The sequence below is a fragment of the Homo sapiens genome, chromosome 8 (assembly GCF_000001405.40).
Source record: "Homo sapiens chromosome 8, GRCh38.p14 Primary Assembly".
In the NCBI taxonomy this organism is placed as follows: domain Eukaryota; kingdom Metazoa; phylum Chordata; class Mammalia; order Primates; family Hominidae; genus Homo; species Homo sapiens.
Genome location: NC_000008.11, coordinates 10,092,257 through 10,110,620, shown reverse-complemented (window position 1 = coordinate 10,110,620; position 18,364 = coordinate 10,092,257). Strand labels below are relative to the sequence as shown.

At 38.1% G+C, this 18,364-nt stretch overlaps 1 protein-coding gene across 9 annotated transcripts in view; it reads right to left on the bottom strand.

Moving 5' to 3' along the window:
* The window catches only part of MSRA (methionine sulfoxide reductase A), a 374,600-nt gene that overhangs the window by 318,271 nt on the left and 37,965 nt on the right, over nt 1-18,364 (bottom strand). For 2 of the 9 annotated variants that reach the window (NM_001135671.3, XM_017013451.3), the window contains exon 1: nt 14,578-14,970. The exons of 5 other annotated variants lie outside the window; for them this stretch is intronic. In NM_001135671.3, the coding sequence (NP_001129143.1) occupies nt 14,578-14,590 (13 nt within the window). In that variant the 5' untranslated portion in view covers nt 14,591-14,970. Of the gene's footprint in view, nt 1-14,097; nt 14,378-14,577; nt 14,971-18,364 lie in introns of those variants that run through there. 2 more of the 9 variants (NM_001199729.3, XM_017013450.3) reach the window with 2 other exon arrangements.

Below are 18,364 nucleotides of genomic sequence, written 5' to 3'. Positions count from 1 at the left end.
TTTTCTAGGTAATATTTAACTCATCCTCCAAATATGAGAGTCTGTGAAAAAGTACAGAAAACAATGAAAGAAAATCTTCAAAGGCACTTGCCAGACAATGACACAAATAGGAAGCGGTGGTCTTGTTTGCACTGTTTCTCCTAACTTAAATCATGCACCCCACTTCCAGCCAGCAGTGAGGCTGACTCAGTGGAGTCTCCTTTGGCCCCTGACAACCATGATATGCATCTTAGTGGGTAACAAAATGGGAGGGAGGCTGGAGAACAAGCCACAAATCTGGATAATCCACACTCTTGAAAATATCCAGAAATAATAAAGAATGGGGCAAAATAAAACCACCAAAGAAAACCTGCTCCAGTTATATGAACAAAACATCCACTGAAACAGTCCAAACCTTTCTTGTTTCAAACCCAGCTTCACAAAGATATTAATTAATTAAATGTGATGGTGTTAGCGTGGACAAAGAATCCAGATGTGGGCCTTGTGGAAGTCTGTGTCAGAACGCTGGGCAGAGGCTCAGTGAATGTCTGTGTGGGGCATGAACTGTGGCTGCAATCAGAGTGGCCTCCCATCCGAGAGCCAAGGACGGACTGAAATCTGGGATGTGGGGAACAAGAGGTGATACAGCCTACTAAGGGTGAACTTGCTAATTATGACGAATCTTTACATATGTGGAAACCAAAAACTGTGGCAACTGATCTTTCACAGACTAGCGGTGTTAAAACCCAGAGCCTAAGGCCATATTCAGACTGGTTTTGGACCACTGCGTGGTATCACTTGATCACTGTCCTGAACAGTTCAACAAACTGTGAAAAAAAGACATCAAACAACCATCATGAAATGAATGACTTCATCTCCTCATTAAAATGCTTCATCATATAAACTAAACTACTATCAGAAATAAAGTTTCTTCAAAAACAGTGTGATATAGTTTCAAAACACTTAAATTCCAATGCTAAAAATACATCATAAGAAAAAAGACTGGGCACAGTGGCGTACACCTATAATTCCAGCACTTTGGGAGGCCAAGATGGGTAGATCACTTGAGTTCAGGAATTCGAGACCAGCCTGGGCAACATGGTAAAACCGTCTCTACCAAAAATACAAATAATTAGCTGAGTGTGGTAGGTGCGTGCCTGTTGCCCCAGCTAATTGGGAGGCTGAGGTGGAAGGATCGTTTGAGCCCGGGAGATGGAGGTTGCAGTGAGCCAAGACTGCATCTCTGCACTCCAGCCTGGGTGACAGAGTAAGACCCCATCTCCAAATAAAAAAAAAAAAGAAAAGAAAAGAAAAGTAAAAAAAGAAAGCATTTGTGCTCTTTAGCATCTTAGTACTCTAATATTGATTTAAAACACATTAAAATTAAGCACTAGGTAAAAAAGGGTTAAAACAGATTTAGCATATGATGTCAAATATGGTTCCTGAGCCAAAGTGCTTTTTTTAAAGGCAGGCACTATATGCATTTTATCTCCTGGACTTAATTTGTGTTTTGCTATGCTCAACAATTTTAATGCCAAGAGGAAGAAACTAAGTGAGAAAGGGAATGCGCTGGCCAGAACCTAGAGAGTTGATCTAATTGAACTGAAAAACTTAAAACCCTTCTCCATCTGTTCAGTACACCTGCTGATGGAGCACTAGCCCAGGTAGGGAGGAAATCCATCAGAGGCCAGTTATAAATAGACTTTTATTTCATCTGCTAAGAGCTTGGCAGCTGAGGTGGGAGGGCTGCCTACATTGGCAGCCAGGCAGAAGCTCTGGGCTGCTTTTATGTTGAGGTAAAAGGAGTGGAGAGACAGAGAACTAAAAAAAAAAAATTTCCCAACAACTCATTTGACAACCAACCACCAGTCATTAGTTTGTTTAAAACGTGCCAGGCATTTCTGATAAGTGCTAGAGACCTGCAAAGATCCATCACACCCCCTCGTGAGGACTGCACAGAATCTAATGGGAAACAGCCTCGCCAATTGCTCACAGGCCAAAGTTTCTACGTGCAAACTTCCTCGGGGTGTTTATAAAATGAATCAAGAGAAGAGGGCATGAATAATATGACAGTGCCTTAACTTTCTGAGGATGGGGTCAATGTAAACTCTAAATGTACCAAAATATAAATCAGGAAAAAAAAGTCTTTGTGGAAGAGAGGAACCAGCAGTTCTAATCCACAGACTATCGCAAGGACTGTAACTGGCAGGTGACATTCAGGCTCCTCCTTCTAGGTGCAAGTCAGTGGGAGTCACTCCTCTTCACATCCCATCAGCCACTAGGGTGGTACCTCCCACCTAATGAGGGCTCAACAAACAGGAGTTAATGTGAATGAATCAACAGCCAGGGAAATCATGAAAGGATCTTGCCCTGTGAGTGAAAATGGAACCAATGGGTATCTCCAGGAAGGCCTGATGTGAATGTTTGCAACAGAGACTTAAGAACAAACGTCAGAGATTATATGTCCAAATAGAACCACTGAGAACGGGGGTGTAAAGGAGAAAAAATTTATATTTCTCTCACTTGCAGAAGTCTGGGCTAAGGGAGGCCTCCCTCATACCCTTCAGGAACATTAAGTATATTATCAAGAAGACAACGACCCCTATATTCTGTCACCACCAAGGACAACAAAAGAAATGGGAGTGATTGGTGGGAAGGGACAGCTGGGTTAAATATGAGGAAGAATTTCCTGACAGCAAAGGTCATTAAACACTGTAAAGGCAAACTAAAGGAGATTAGGGATGCTCTCTCTGGAGGTCTTTAAAAAGTAGAATCACTTAGCAATATCCGGGGATAATTTAGGTACAGTTCTGCCCACTCCTCTGGCCTTTTTCAGTGCTCTAATTCATCCCCTGGCCCGGACAAGACAGGCTCACCACGGTAAACTACTGTCACACTCTGTTCCATAACAAGCTCTCAGAAGGAGAATAAGCATTAAGAAAATGACGAAAGCTCTCTTGGAAGTAAAACTCATTTTTCTTTATTTAAACAGCATGTTGGGTTTTTGTGGTTTTCTTTTGCTTCTTTTTCCTTTTTTAAAAATGCTTACATACAGAAATAGCTAAACAAAACTCAACTACACTGATCTGTTATTGAAAAGCATTAGAAGGAATCCAGGTGGAAGATGAAACAGGAATGTTCTGAGTCAGAGACGCACAGAATATCTCATTATGGACCTCTTTGCTAGGCACTGAGTACGAGTACCACAAGGACTGCTGCCCAGAGATTCTAGCATCTATTTCTCAGGAGGTCAGAAAAGGAGATTTTCATCGGTTTGGTTACAAGGAGGCAAACTAAATGACCTCTAAGACACTAAAACTCTAGAGTGTTTATTTTTCAGAGTGCTATACTTAAGTGTTAAATTAAAAAAAAAAACACTCATGAAACTCTCATATTCTGAAAGATCCATGTTCTCTAAAAAATGTGAATTTTGATTCTCCCTCTGAGTTGCAGAGGGACAAGAAGGTGAGGAAAAGCAGGATCCTTTCTCCTCTCCTAACAGTCACTGCGCTTGGCCACATTTACTGATCTGTAGTCCTTCACCACTGTATCATCAGCTGGGTGATGGCAGCGGTTATCTGTGTTCTATCCATGATGTGGCCTCATCACTCAGCACTGAGGGACTCAGAGACTAAATGAATAATGGGCTGACAGCTGCATGGATGGACGGATGGGGTAGATGGTTGCGTAGGTGGGTGGGAAGGTGGATAGATGGGGTAGGTGAATGGGTAGGTGGGTAGAGGGGTAGGCGGGTGGAGGGAAGGGGTAGGTGGGTAGGTGCGTGGGTAGTTAGGTGGGTGGGTGTGTGAGTGGGTAGGTAGGTGGGTGGGTAGCAGACAGAAGGAATGACCTAAGGACACATTCCCAAGGGTGTATGGAGAGGCTACCATAAAAGCACCAACTTACTATATTCTCCTGGTGGTCCCATGACAGAGTGAACAAATGTGAAATCACAAGAAGCACAACAAATCTGGAAGCAGAGGACTTGATTTAAACTCTAGCATTGCTACTAACAAGCCCAGGCACTTCACTTCTCTGGGCCTCTATTTCCTCACCTGAAACGTGTGTGGTGTGTGTGTCTGCCAGTCTCTCTCACAGAGTTGCACTGACTTAGATAACCTAGAGAAAACAGGGTTTGTAATTAAACAACAGTCATTATTTTCATATACTCTTTATTGAAGTTTTCCTTAAAACTTTTAAACAGTAGAGGAATGGTGCAGAGACGGTGACTGGAGCCAAATGCTGATTCCAGGTAAGAATTCAGTAAGTGGAGAAAGAAGGAAATATCAAAGCTAGCCAATGAGAGGACATTTCACTGGTTCCTATATGCTGAAGGGAGGCTCACTCCCTGCAGTAAATGGCAAACGAGTACAATAAGGCCAACTGGAATTGACTGAGCAAAGCGTATGGCCACTGTCCTTAAGAAAGTCAAGTCTGTGAGAACCATACCTCAAGGTCTGACTTCCACGTTTGGGTTTGCAAGCCCACTCTTCCCTCAGCTGTTAGTATCTGCCCAGAACCTCACCTATGACTGTGGCAAACCATCAGCAGACACGCAGTGGTGCCAAATGTTTGAACAACCAAGGAGGGTTCCTATAGGATTGTGGAAAGAGTATCCTTTCCGATTCCAATTTTAAAACAGATGTATAATTACTAAAGCAATTTCATATACATGGTTACTAGCAGGGAAAGAGGGAGTGCTGCCTAAAATACTCCACAGCCGCCTGGTCCTCCTGGTTTCTATATCTTCTGTGTGTTCTTTTGTTTTGCAAAGTGATTTGGAAGATTAGGTGGGTTTTGTTTAGACGGGACAGCATGAGCAAAGTCGGTGAATAAGTGCTACTTGATTGCACAACAAAAGATACACAAGGAGCCTCAGCCACAACTCAATCCACTTGCCCCAACAGTGTGCATTTCTCAATTAAGTTATTTTGTTAGCAAGACTACTGGTTAGGGGAAGGAGAAAGTGCTTATTGCACCGAGATTATTCACTGTATAGAAAGCACTATAATCAGATCAACAGAACATTCTTTCTAAGGGCCCTAGAACTCCTATTTGGTAACATTGCAGATGCAATGGGAATGTGCCTACATTATCGGTGTGCTATAGCAGTCCCTGCAAATAATAGAGTAAAACTCCACAATACTCTTTAATTCAATGATGGATGCCTGGGGACTAAGAATCTGCCTGACATTTCAAGTTGACCAAAAGTTTACATGGAAAATGAGAAACTTTTTCCTCTAGATGTTAATTAAGGAGATAAAATTCTGATGCATTCTAAGAAATTAGTCCCATTAGCCCTCTCTGCCTCATCGGAAAGCATGGATTGTAAGCATGTATTATTACTAAAATCACTTCTGAAAATGAAAAATGAAAACATTCCAATTTTTCAAACATATTCCATAGTTAATTTCCAAAGTTGCCATAAGGAAAATGAGAAAAAAAAAGATTGAGAAGGTATCTTCGATGAGCATAACAAAGGATTAGTTAATATGATACAAATTAGTAAGAATAAAACAACTCAAAAGAATACTGTGCAAAGCATATGAATACAGAATGCACAGAAAAGGAAATCTAAATTACCAATATTAAAAGATGTTCAATCTCACTAAGTAATCAGCTATACCAATAAACGTAACAGCAAAATATTCCTTGCCCATGAGATTGACAAGAATTTTAAAGTCTGGTACTACCAACTGTTGGTGAAGATACAGTGAGACAAGAACATTGATACTCTAGCACAGGAATATAAATGGGTACTGGAAACCAAAAATAAAATTCTAAGCCCCTCTCAACCATCTGAATGGACCTCTCCTCTTGGCCAAGGGCATTCCAAAGTCAACCTGAAAACCCAGTTCAGGCTATGATGTGAAGGGGGGTTGGACATGCCTCATTATATCCGTCTCCCTTTTGGAATTCAGGAAAAGCAGGCCAGCATTAATATCAACACAGACCTTAAGTCTGATAAGAAACATTTACAATCTATTCTCTCTGAAACCTGCTACCAGGAGGCTTCAACTGCATGATAAAACCTTGGTCTCCACAACCCCTTAGCATAACCCAGCCATTCCTTCTTATTGAGGATAATTCTTTCAACCAGTCGCCAATCAAAATTTTTATATCTACCTATGACCTAGAAGCCCCTGATTCAAGTTGTCCTGCCCTTCCAGATCAAACCAGTGTACATCTTACAGGTATTGAATGATGTGTTTTACGTCTCCCTAAAAGGTATAAAACCAAGCTGTACCCCCATCACCCTGGGCACATGTCAGGACCTCCTGAGGCTGTGTCACAGATGCATCCTTAACCTTGGCAAAATAAACTTTCTAAATTGATTGAGACCTGTCTCAGATACTTTTGGGTTCACATTACAAATACTTGGGAGAATGGCGTGGCATTACTGAGTAAAGCTGAAATATTCAGAAACTGGGCTCCATTTCTAAGTCCTCCTCTAGAGATCACCCAGATGTGTAGGAGGGTCATGACAGCATGGGTAGCACAAAGCAGATCCCTAAACGCCCATCCACAGAAGAATGGCTACGCTAAAATGAGACACTCTACAGCCTCATACCCACATTAGCAATAGAGATAACGCTCAGAAATATCTAATTTCATTTGCAAAAGGATAGCAACAGTTTAAAATATTTTATCAAAGTTTTTAAACATGTAAAATATATTGTTTATGGCTACATGTATACGCTGTAATTCCAGAAAAATGTGCATGAAAGTGTTCTACACCAATTTCAGACGTGAGAGAGAGTAAGGCTTTAGTTATATCCTTAATTTTTTTTTTTAACATCTGAGGAAAATAAATATGGCATTTGTCACTTCTGAATAATGGGTATATGGGTATTCATTCTACTTTATTTAATACTTTGCTATCTATTTGAAGGTCTTCGATATTTAAACAATTTTAAAGCATTTTAAATATATATATATATAAAACAGTCTATTGGAATAAACAGCTGAAAAGCATACAGAATTAGGTACATTATCTTTATCCATCATCCTCATGTGTCTGGAGAAACTAACTAGATAATTGTCTCCCATGTTTATGATACCTATCAGCTAAATTGCTTTCAGGCACATTATCTCACTTAATATTCTGAACAACCCTTTGATATTGGTATTATGACAGCCACTTCACTTATAGGAAAAGTCAACCTTTAGAGTTTTGGAGATTTTCCCAAGATTATCCAGTTAGTAAGTGATGCAAAACTGGGATCTCACTGTCAATGCTACAGCACAGATGACCCGTAAGAACCCTGACAATATATTATTCCAAAGTTACATGCATCATCTTTAAGATCTGTCCTGAAGCTACAGGTTTGAATTCACAAATGAAACAGAATACTTTATCACTGACATTTTTAAAGCCTTCAGTCAAATCTGTTTCTTCTGACTATTTTTAATATACTGACCTCTTCTAAAAATAAGTTGCAAAAGTCTGATAAAACCTCGCATGTTAATAACCAAAAAAATGGAAATCTTACCCAGGTAGCGTATTCTCTCCTTTTAAAAATAATTTTTCTAAATTAATAAAGTAGAAACTACAATGTCATCTCTTATATTCTTTTATTCAATGTGCTAGTGGTAAACACATACTAATCTCTGGGTAGCTAGTGATTAAAGAAGGCTCAGTCCCTAATTTGAGAATGTAACTATCATTAAACAAGTTATCAAACACAAGTAGCACCAACAACATAAGCTAAATTTAAGGAATACAGAGCTGAGACACTGTCCAGGTTACTGCACCCAGTACAAAACTAACAATAAAAATAACAGTATCAACTATGGGTAGCCTGAATTTCACCCTCACCTACCAATAATAAGGTACCCTCCTACTCCCCCACCTCACAGAAATGAGGGAGTGCCCCCCTTTCCCCTGCTAGCACAGTGTCAGAGAAGGTTTGTTAACACAGAAGGCTTAAATAAAATCCAGTCTCATAGCATAGTACCCAACATGCCTGGATATAATCAAAATCATTTATCATACCAAGAACCAGGAAAACCTCAATTTAAATGAGAAAACACAGTCAAGAGATGCCAACATTGAGATGGCACAGATGTTGGAATTATCTGACAAGGATTTGAAAGTAGCCATTATAAACATGTTTCCACAAACAACTAAAAATGGGCATGAAACAAATTTTAAAAACAGAAAGTCTCAGTAAAGACATAGCAGATAAAATAACCGAAATTAAAACTCACCCAGTGAGCTAAACAGCAGAATGAAGATGACAGAGAAAAGAATAGGTGAATCTGAAGGTAAGAACAATAGAAATTATGCAATCTGAATAGTAAAGAGAAAATAGACTTAAAAAATAATCAGTATCAAGCACTGGTAGAACTATAACAAAGTTTTAATATTCACATCCTCCAAGTCTTGGAAGGAAAGGAGAAAGAGGGCACACCTGGGGAAGTATTCAAAGAAATAATGCCTGACAACTTTCCCAATTTAGCAAAAGACATAAACCTACATATTCAAGAAGGTGAATGAGCCCCAAACAGGATACACCCAAAGAAATCCACAAAAAGGCACAACATAACACATTCCTTGAAAACTAAGGACACAGCAAGATTTTGAAAGTAGTGAGAGAAAAAGGACATCTTAGCTGAAGGGCAAAACAATTCAAATGACAGCAGATTTCTCATCAGAAAACACAAAGGCAAAAGAAGGGAGTACAACTGAAGTTGCGCTGAAAAAAAAGAAATTGTCAACCCAGAATTCCACTTTTGGGGATATACTCAAAAGAACTGGAAACAGGAGCTCAAAGAGATATCTGTGCACTCATGTTCATAGCACCATTATTCACAACAGCCAAAAGGTAGAAGCAACCCAAGTTTCCACTGGCAGATGAATGGAGAAAGAAAATGTGGTCTGTCCATACAATAGAGTATTATTCAGCCTCATAAAAGAAGGAAATTCTGACACATGCTAAAACATGTATGAATCCTGAGGACATTATGCTAAGTGAAAGAAGCCAGTCACAAAAGGACAAACACTGTATGATTCCACTTATATGAGGTACCTGAAGTAGTCAAATTCATAGAGACAGAAAACAGAATCAAGGTTGCCACGATTCTGTTGCGGGGTTTGGGGAAGGGAAGAATAGAAAGTTATTGTTTATGGGTACAGAATTTTGGTTTTGCAAGATGAAAAGACTTCTGTGGCTTGATGACGGTAATGGCAGCATAACAATGTGAATGTACCTGATACCACTTAAAAATGGTTAAGACGGTAAAATATGTTATGCATATTTTATCACAATTTCTAAAAATTAAAAAAATAATTTTGTAAAACATAAATAATATCTACCATTTATTAAGTATTTACTACATACCAGACACTATGCTAAGAGCTCTGCATGTATTTCCTTATTTCTCCTCCCAAAATCGTGTGAGGGAAATACCATGATCCCTGTTCTGCAGATGAAGAAATTAGGTTTACATAACTTGGCCAAAGTCCCACAACCAAAAAATTGAGTCAAAATTCAAACTCAGTTTGGGGAGATGCTGAGGAACATTATCTCTAACCCAAGACGGTAAAGGACTATTTGTTTCAAAGGCAGATTTCCCATGAATACAGCTAAGGTGAAACACTCCTGGGTCTTTGAGAACAATTTGATCTTTTCAGATGAGGTACAATAACTTAGAAGGGCTAATAGGAAAAGAGATATAAATGACATTGATAGACAAGGATAAAAGAATGGCATCACTCCAGAGGGACTAATTCTTCAGTATTTTGCACAAAACCTCCAGATCCACACATAAGGGGTATTCTAATTGTGTAAGACTGAGAGATTCTTAACTGTAAGAGAAGAAAATGTTCATCTCCTCTGATAACGTGCAATACAGAACACACACAGGTAACATTTTTCACTTTCTGCTTGCTTTTGGAGAAATAAAATAACCTGAGCACAACTCACGGCCAAACTTTTAAGTCGAGCTTTGCAGAGGTGGTACAATTATTCAGAATCTGATGAGTTTCAGAATAAACTCCTAACTCCAGTACTCTCAAAACCTTTTCTTTCACTTGATCTAAATTTCTACTTACTCATCCTCCCCTGTTTCACCATGTTCTCTAGAACACTTCTGATCACATCCCCTAGCCCCCTAGACTCCATGGTCAGATACTGGAACACTGCCCTCCCTGGCCACAGACCTTTGACCTTCTCCCAATACCTGCTATTCCAGTTCCAAGCCTGTATGCACCCCAGGACCTCCACAAGCACAATGGGGACTTGGTACCTTCCTGCAGCAGATCAAGGCACAGGGCTTGGGCAGCAAAGCTGAGGCTAAATTCCAGCCCCTCACCGCCTTGGACACAGAACTATACACAATGCTCCTGACTCTGCCTCTCCCTCTCCTGGGCCTCAAAACCTCCCAGGACAAAGACCCAGAAAGACGATGTTCAACATGAACTGGCCTCAGCAACCCATTTACATCCCCCCATGCAGCCCCTCAATAACACCTTATGCCCTCTCAACGCCTGCGGTTGCTGATATTGCAGTCTAACCCAGGATCCCACATTCACCCTTGCTCCCTCAAAGGCCCCTAGTGCTGCAGCTACAACAGGACTGAAGCTGCTTGCTGGGCAGCGCCCTCAACTCTGCACAACTGCCCTCACCACCTTCTCTGTCTCCATCCCCTCTGCCTTTGTCCTGCCCTCAAAAGAAACACTTTAAACTCACTGGGCACTCCACTGGCCTGCTGCATGCTCAGGCCACACCACCAAGTCCTAAAGTACAATATGGGATGCTTTGGGAAAATGAGGACAGAGGGAATGCAAGACAACAGAGGGCTGGCCAGAGAGAAAGCCGGTGTCCAGGGCCACCCCACACCAGGCAAGTCCTTGTTTCATATCATCTCCAATGGCCACCGCAAGAGAGCCTAATGTGGTCACAAATAATGTGGCCCTCTGCTGCACCCCTCTAAACCCATAGCCAGCAACAGAGAAACAAGATAAAGAAAGCACAGTACTTTTTGTTTTTCTATCCATGAAGGAAAAAACACTCTCTTAGTCAAATAAGACTCAACAAGCTAATACTCTGGTTCGCCACTCAGTTTATTTCTTCCATGAATACTTATTAAGTGGCCATTGTGTACCAGTCCCTGCGCCCAGCATGGCTGCTTGGATTACATGGAATAACAGGCGAAGGTATTTGGTAACCTGAAAAGGTACCTACATTCATCAATTATTCCTATCCTCTCCTCTACCCAACTACACTAGGAATTCCTATGGGCAGCAATTATATCTTTTGCCTGGCACAGAGCAAGTCCTCTGGGAGTATCTGCTGAATGACCTCAGCAGTGTATACCCACGGCTGAGACACTCCTCATCTCCATTCCATGGGCCACCAGCTCTGCCTCACGCCTGGGCCACCAAAGCAGCCTACAAGTACATCTCCTCAGATCACGTGACTTTTATCTCCTCTTCAAAGATGAACCTATGCCTTCTTTTTGTATCAGAGAACAACTGCATGGAATAAACTTAGGCCACTGAGTTAAATGCACTCTCTCTCTCTCTCACTCACAAACATACACACACACGAACCACTAGAATATAGAAAGTGAACTGATAGGTCCATTTAAAATACACCACACCCCCTAGCAAACCTTCTTTCAAAGGGCCATGCTGGCCTCAGGATGTGGGAGGGGCCTTATCTTCCTCCTTTGTCTCACAACAGAAAACAAAGGAAAGAAAAAAATCCCACATAAACAGGCCACTGTTGTTTACGTTGCAGCCACGTCTTCGAAGGTTCAATTACACCTGCTTTGACATATGTAAGATCTAGCATGTGAGCAGTGGCTCAATCTCAGTTTCTTCCTCCCTGATTTGAATTGCTTATTTTACATGTCTGTCAGAAGACTTGAACAACTCAAGTTTTCTGGCCAATAAAATGTAACAACCAAAATAGTCATAAAACAAGATTCTTACAGCTACGTGTAATACAACTAATCTCCTGATTTTTTATAATCACACTCTACAATATGTGTATTGTGCAAGAAAAGTGAACATACTTTGTTGAAATTAATCTCATTATAGTACTGCCTTTTTCTATCTAGGCGTTTAAATTTTATTTTAAATCTATTCCCTCTTCCATCCCCGTTACCCAAAATAACTTTATCAATAAAATATTAGCATATTTAAGTGAGTGCTCAATAAACATTTGTTGAATAAATGAATAAATGAGCGAGTAATTATAAAATACTGGACTAACGCTTCCTGAGAAGTTCGCATTAATTTGTAGAATAATGTGCTTGTATGTTCAGGTACATACATCAAAATGGAATTTAATAATACGTATCAAGTAGCAGTTAAATATTAACGCATTTCTGCCTCAATAATTTTACTTCAAAATATTATACAATTCAAACGACCATAATTATGAGGTGAGATAGGGTTCATTTACAATCAAACCAATAGTATTTATATACTTTAAAATAAGATTTGAAATACTAATATGGAAATAGTTAATAACCTAAATGTCAATGTGTTTGTAGTACAAAAGGTCTAAAAATAAAGAAGCATGCATTATGTTACAACTAAATGTCTTTTTAAAAAAATGTAATCAACGCAACTTCTTAATCACACTTTTTTTTAAAAAAAGCTTGCACAAAGACGTGTCTATTATACCCGTTTTACAAGGAACATCTTTATGGGAGATTTTCTTTCATTTTAAGCTATGTAATGTGTAGGCCAGAGAGAATTTCTATTGGTAAGAAACTTCAGTGACTATAATAGCTAGTATTTATCAAATTTTAAGTTTAATATACACTGTAAAATGTAGTTTTACCAGTATCGAAAAATTTAATATTTCTTAAGGTATATTCTGACATATTTGTTTTTTAATTCACCTACTTTTGATCATACTGCTGGAAAATAATTGGACATGAAATAGTTTGGATATAAGTTTGTTCTGAGTTCGCTGCAAAGAAGTTAAGAAATCAGCTAGCAAAAATTATTTTAACTTCAAGAAAAAATGGACTTAAAAATTAAATAAGTTATATATTTAGCAAACCTAAATGGCAAGAAGTTATGTTAAATGTTTAAGAAGTAAATGGAAGTAAATATAAATCGGCAATAAGACGGTCAGTATTAAAATGAAGCTCAATTTAAACTTGTTTGCTGAACTTTCTTTTTGTTTCATATATTGTTGTTTTTTAGTATAAGCATGAATGATCCTGTAATCAATTCAAAAAGGAAGACTGCAGTCAGGCAAACATTTCCTTCCGAGTGCCTATCAGCATGTCTTTCATGTCTTGGCGTCCATTTTAGGAGTATCAGCGACGTAGTGTATAAAGGAGCTTATTAAACAAAGGTTGTCATTTTGGCAACACACATAAATGTTAAGTGATTTCATTTTACAGAAAATCAAAATGTTGATTAATTAAAAAGTTGAAGAACATACTTAAGCTTAACTGTTCAAACACCTCTGTTAGATTTCATATATTTTTCAATCATATTTATATATTAAATGCCATTTTCAGGATTGCTGATGTGTCACTATAATTTTATAAAAAACATGTGAAACAATTAATCATTTAAGGCGCGCAATAATGGAAAGCTATAGACAGGTTTTTATTGTCGAAGGATTAAGAAATCAATGATTACATACTCCAAACAAAAGCACAGATCCAGGGGCAGTCTTTTATACTGCCCAAAATGATGAGTACTTATGTGAATAGATACAATTTTCCTGTATTCTTTCGGCATATAAAATAAAAAGAAAATACATGATTATAGGAAGTCATAACTTAATCCTACAAGTCAAACTGTCTTTAAAAACAGAATACTTACAATCAGGGTGATCCACAGTAACACATGCCTTACAGTTAACCTCTCCTACAATAATGCTGATTTTTAAGAACAGAACTATCACAATCCAATCATAATCAGGCCTAATAGGAAAGATTCATTGTTCAGAAATTAGATATAAAGTATATATCTAAGTAAAACACCAGGTAGTATTAAAAAGAAAATCGGTAAACTTTCTAAATTTTCCTTCTACTTAAAACATTTTGAGAGAGCCAGGCTACAGTAATCGTTTAATTATAAAATCTAATCAACCAAAAATAAGAAATTTTTCTCCAAGTATTGCAAACACAGCTCACCACTTCTTCTCCAAAAGATTTAAATTTCTATTCTCTACCATTCCCAGCCATTTCTGCCAACATCATAAAAATCACCTTTCATCATTTCCTTCTCACAATGAGAATTCACTAATCGCATACATCTCTTAGACATAGACACCTCCCCACCCACCTCCCAAAAATGGTTCAGAGCAAAGACACACAAAAAAATAATGACCAAGCTCACATTTCTTGTTTGCCCTTCAAGCGAAGTCTGGTGTCTTCAGCTTGCCTTTCTGGTCTTCAGTGTTGTCACTAATTGCTGGGGGATGTAGTTTAGGACAGCATGAAGCAGCAGAAATAAAAGCTGTTGCTTTAAGAAAACGTTTTCTTAAACACATGGATAAAACAACTTTTACTCTGACTTCCTGGCTGGGCTGCATAAAATCTTAGAAAGGCTCCTTGAAAAGTTAATGTCTATAAATGTCTAAAAATAAAATAAAATAAAATCTAAAAACTTACGTTCTGAACACATTCCGAAGGATGTCTTTCTGATTTGATTTGAAAGCAGGTTTGTATTGATGAACAAACTTTATTTTGTAGAAAATTAATATTCCCTCTAATTAGAAATTTGCCTTGCCATCTTCTATATTAATCCTGTCTCTCATGGTATAATCATACATGCAAAAAATCAAATATAGTATTTCCCAAATGCATGGACACTATGGAAGCTTCGTTTTGAAAAAGGCTTTTATTTCCCTTAATACTGGTGACTAAACGTCATTGTATGTACCAACACTTTCAAATAGCCCAAGAGACTTAAAAAGCCTTCTAAGTTTGAAAACCAAAAAGTTCTGAGTTTTTCTGTACCCCAGGACGGTTTTCTTTCCTGAAGCTCAAGCCGAGAAAGCAGACAAAAGAAGCTGATTTGACTGAGCTGTGCCAAGTCTTGCCTTTTTTTCTTTCCTCAGCTCTCCCTCTGCCTCTCTCTCTCCCTCTTTCTCTCTCTCACTCTTTTGCTCCCAGTATGGCAACCTTCCGAGCAGTCTTGGCGGAGGTCCAGGCTGTGCCAGTCTGTCTGAATTCTTGTCTCCAAAAGATGTCCTTTGCGGATCAATTAATACATTTGAAAACAGGAAACCGTGGTACGGTACCCAAATCCTGGCACCAACAGCATCGACTTCTGCCAAATCACCTTACAGATTTCATGGTATCCTACCTTTCATAATTATTACTAACATGTTCCCGGAGCAATAATGGAGTACTAGAAGCCATTCACTGCTCAGCAATAAGGAATCTGTTCCCTAGAAATGTCCATATGCGACATATGCACAACCTGCAATAAATCAAATTTCTCCTGTGAGAAGAGATGTATGTAACTTTAATAAGCACCACATACTGTATTTCTTTTTATAAGACTTGCTTTTCCTTGTCCTGCCGCAAAGACTCATGGGAGAATAGAAACGGAGGCATGCAGATTAAAATTAAAACCGTATGCCCAGAAATGTCATGCTTTATCCTATGGAGAATGAATATAGTTTTGATTGATCTGCAACTTTATTTTTAAGGAGGCTCTAATACAAACTGTACCTATTCAAAATTTTACTACAGATGTACAGGGGAGAAGAGTTCTTTTGATAAAACAAATAACAATAAAAAGGAAAATAAAACATCTAAGGTCAATTTAATAACAGCAAGTATCTTTTCATATTTTGACACCTCAAGTTCCAGCATAGTCACTTGTTTACTTAATTCATGTTAATACAATATAATAAGCATAAATAAGTACTGTTTGCTTTTATTTTTAACATAAACACCTTTTGAAGCAAAATAGCCAGTCTGTGCTTCACACACTTACCTGGTTTAAGAAATCATTTTTACCTATGATGCTTGAACATAGAAAAGAGCCACATTCTAGAATCATCGTTTCATAGAAAGAACCCAGAAAAGTGACTTCTAGTCCTTGATTCTGCCACGTTCTAATTTAGATAACTCAAGGTCTCAAATTGCTAATCTATCTAATCTCCTCAGTTTGCTCATTTACCACTTATGAAAATCAGTGACTTCCTATTCTTTGCTTCCAAACTACTACGTTTATGCACATAGATACCTTCATCCTAATTGCATAGTAATTAGTTAAGTTTGTGTGCTCCGCCAATCAAATGTGTCATCTTCACAATTAGGATCATGTGTCATTTATCTAAGAAAACTCAAAGTCTTGCATACAGCCTTCCATATACAGCTGTCCAACAAATCTATTAAGTAAATAAGTTATGGGAACGGATCACATAAATATCAATCTGAAATTCTATTAAGTAATATAACAGTGAAAGACAAAACCACATATTACTGAACCATAAAGTTGATAGATCAATAAAATGCTACAGAGATATCACAAGTGTTGAATTAAAGCACTGACAAAAGTGTCCCATGCTGTCCCTTCAAATAGGGATGATGAAACGTGGGCAGACTAACAGTGAATTTGTAATTCAAAACCAATAACCTGTTAATAGCCAAAGACTAAAGAGAATCTTGAAAGCAGCATTGGAGAAGCGACTCATCACGTGCAAGGAATCCTCAGTAAGATTAACAGCCGATTTCTCATTGAAAACCATGGAGACCAGAAAGCAGTGGGATAACATAGTCAAAGAGCTGAAAGGAAAATAACTGTCAACCAAGAATTCTATGTCAGCAAAACTATTCTTTGAAAATGAAGGAGACATTAAGACATTCCAAATAAAAACAGAGTTCATTACTAGCAGACCTGCTCTACAAGAAATAAAGGAACTTTTCCACCAAGCTGAAATGAAAAGACACTAGACAGTAAATCAAATCAATGAAGAAATATAGGAGTAAGTATAAAGGTAACTGCAGAAGTGAATATTTTACAAATAGTATAAATGTATTTTAAAATAAATGTAACATAGTTTAATTTTTTAAATATCCTTAAGCATTTCTAAAATATTTAAAATGGGATAAATGTACTCTTTTTTCTATCTGATGTAAATGACAAAAGCATAGAACTGTTGTTATAAACCTATGTTGAAAAGCACACAATCTATGAAGAGGTAACATGTGACAATAAGAGTAAAGAAGGAATAGAACAGAGCTATATAGGAGCAAAGTTTTTGTATATTATTACATTGGTATTAATCTGAATTAGATTGTTATAAATTAAGATGTTAACTGTAATCCCCAGGGCAACCACTAAGCAAATAACTCAAAAACATAGAGGAAAATAAATGGCAAGGAAATTAAAATGTTACTTGAAAAAATATTTAACATAAAATAAGGTAGTAACAGAAGAACAAAAAAGACAAAGATACGTAGAATATAGCCCAATAGCATAAGTAAATCCTATCTCATCAGTAATTGCATTAAACTTAAATGAATTAAACACTCCAATTAAAAGACATAGATTGGCAGAACGGATTAAAATTTTAAAACAAAATTCAACTATATGCTGTCTACAAAAGACACACTTTATACTCAAAGACATAAAAAGGTTCAAAGTAAAACTATGTAAAATATATATACCATGCAAAAAGAAACCCCAAGAGAGCTAGAATGGTTATACTAACAAGCAAAACAGACTTTAAGAAAACGCTTGCTACTAAAGATAAAGAAGGACGTTTTATAATGCTAACAGGGTTAATTCATCAAGAAGAGACAACCAATATAAACATACATAAGAACAGAGCCCCAAAATACACAAAGCAAAATCTAAAATAATTGAAGGGAAAAATGGGTAATTCAACAATGATAGTTGGAAACTTCAATACCTTTCATTCCACAACTGTGAGAACAACTAGACAAAAGATCAGCAAGGAAACAGAAAACTTGACCAACACTATAAATCAACTAGTACCAACAGACATCTACCAAACAATCTACCCAACAAGAGCAGAATTTTTTTTTTTTTTGAGACAGAATCTCACTCCGTCACCAGGCACAATCTCACCTCACTGCAACCTCCACTTCCTGGATTCAAGCGATTCTCCTGCCTCAGCCTCCCAAGTAGCTGGGACTAAAGGCGTGCGCCACCATGCCCAGCTAACTTTTATATTTTTAGTAAAGATGGGGTTTCACACATGTTGGCCAGGATGGTCTCGATCTCTTGACCTCGTGATCTGCCCACCTCGGCCTCCCAAACTGCTGGGATTACAGGCGTGAGCCACCGTGCCTGGCCAGAATGTACATACTTAAGGATATATGGAACATCCTCCAGCAGGCAATATGTTAGGCTATAAAATGAACCTCAATAAATTTAAAATGATTAAGTCAAAGTGTGTTTTCCAACCACAATGGA